The 1,378-nt window shown below is 34.3% G+C and overlaps 1 long non-coding RNA gene across 1 annotated transcript; it reads left to right on the plus strand.

The window, feature by feature from the left end:
• The first annotated feature begins 249 nt into the window (after positions 1 to 249).
• On the plus strand, positions 250 to 613 carry LOC124909336 (uncharacterized). The gene is made up of 2 exons (XR_007095782.1): positions 250 to 351; positions 504 to 613. It is a non-coding gene; the product is annotated as an uncharacterized LOC124909336 (long non-coding RNA).
• The last annotated feature ends 765 nt before the right edge of the window (positions 614 to 1,378 follow it).

Consider the following 1,378-nt stretch of genomic DNA (forward strand, 5'->3'; position numbering starts at 1 on the left):
AAATATTTCTACTGAATGCATTACACTATTTCTTTTAGCCCCTGCTTTTTACTTGCTTTTTGAACAAAGTAAAAATAAATCAAGTAAATAACTCTCTTTTTAATATAAAAGGCATTACACCAAGAGCAATATGGATAAGGAAAAAAACAGGTGAATTCATTCAAAATGCATTAACTTCAGAATTGGTTCTGAAAGGGCTAATTGTAAAAGTCTCTTTTTACATGTGTTGTGTTCACAGGTGGTAAACACTGCACTAATAAAAAAGGACCCCGTGCGAAGCACCGTGGATGCCTTGCCAGAACGAGTTTGTGTGGCCATACTAACAGCTGAAGCATTAAGTTCTCATATCGGGTTAGAAAGCAACTTTTCTCCCAATTAAGGAGCCAAAGAATATTTCTGTTTCCTGAAAGTAAATTATGACCCATAAATTAGGAATTTCAATGAAATATTTACCATTGACATGAACAAAAATTTATTTTATTTTTATTTTAAATTCATTTTAGTGGTAGACTGGAACACGAAAGACAGACACTCGTGATTTGAAGGCTTCCGTTCGCAGTGTATACATTACATTTGCTGCTGGACTCAGGACAATAAAAATAATTTCCTGTTGCTGCTGCTGGTACTCTACTACAACTATTCATATTTCTTCCACCTAGTATTGATTAATCTTTTATGATGGACTAGCTAGGCACTTTACATGTATTAACACATTTGATTATCACAACAACCCTATCATGGAGACTCTATTATTAATCTCATTTTAAAGATAAAAAGACTAAAGGACCAAAACATTGAATACCTTTTCCAAAGGCCTCCAGAAGAAAACATCAGATAGTCTGACTCAAGAGTATTCTTATGCTGTACCACATCTCTATATTAAACTTGAGGCATTCTGAAAAAAATTGAATATTGTTCCTATTGAATTTTTTTTCTCTCTTATTCCTTCTAACTGGACAAGAACCTATACTTTCAAGTGTTGTATGTGTGTATGTGTGTGTGTAAAATTTATAGCTCGAGACAATGATGTCTATTTTCTATTTAATGGTATGTGAAATCAGCTGGCTGTCTTGATCTAGTAGCCGAGACACAGGTGCTCATATTACAAAATAAATAGTGGCAAAAATTGAATGGACATTTACGGTAGCAGGCACTGGGAAGAGAGAAAGAAAGGTGAAGACACTGTAAATTGAATGACTTCACCTTAGCAGAGGTCTCTGTTGTCTGGCATCATGAGTTCATGGAATAAGTCTGCTCTTGCTTGCTAGAAGGTTGTCTCTATCTTTCTTAATGAATGACTTGATAGATTTCTTAATGAATGACTTGATAGTTGTACAAAACGTGCAAAAATTTGTCCTCGTCTCAAAAACAAAAAGAA

This window comes from Homo sapiens, chromosome 3 (assembly GCF_000001405.40).
Source record: "Homo sapiens chromosome 3, GRCh38.p14 Primary Assembly".
NCBI lineage: Eukaryota > Metazoa > Chordata > Mammalia > Primates > Hominidae > Homo > Homo sapiens.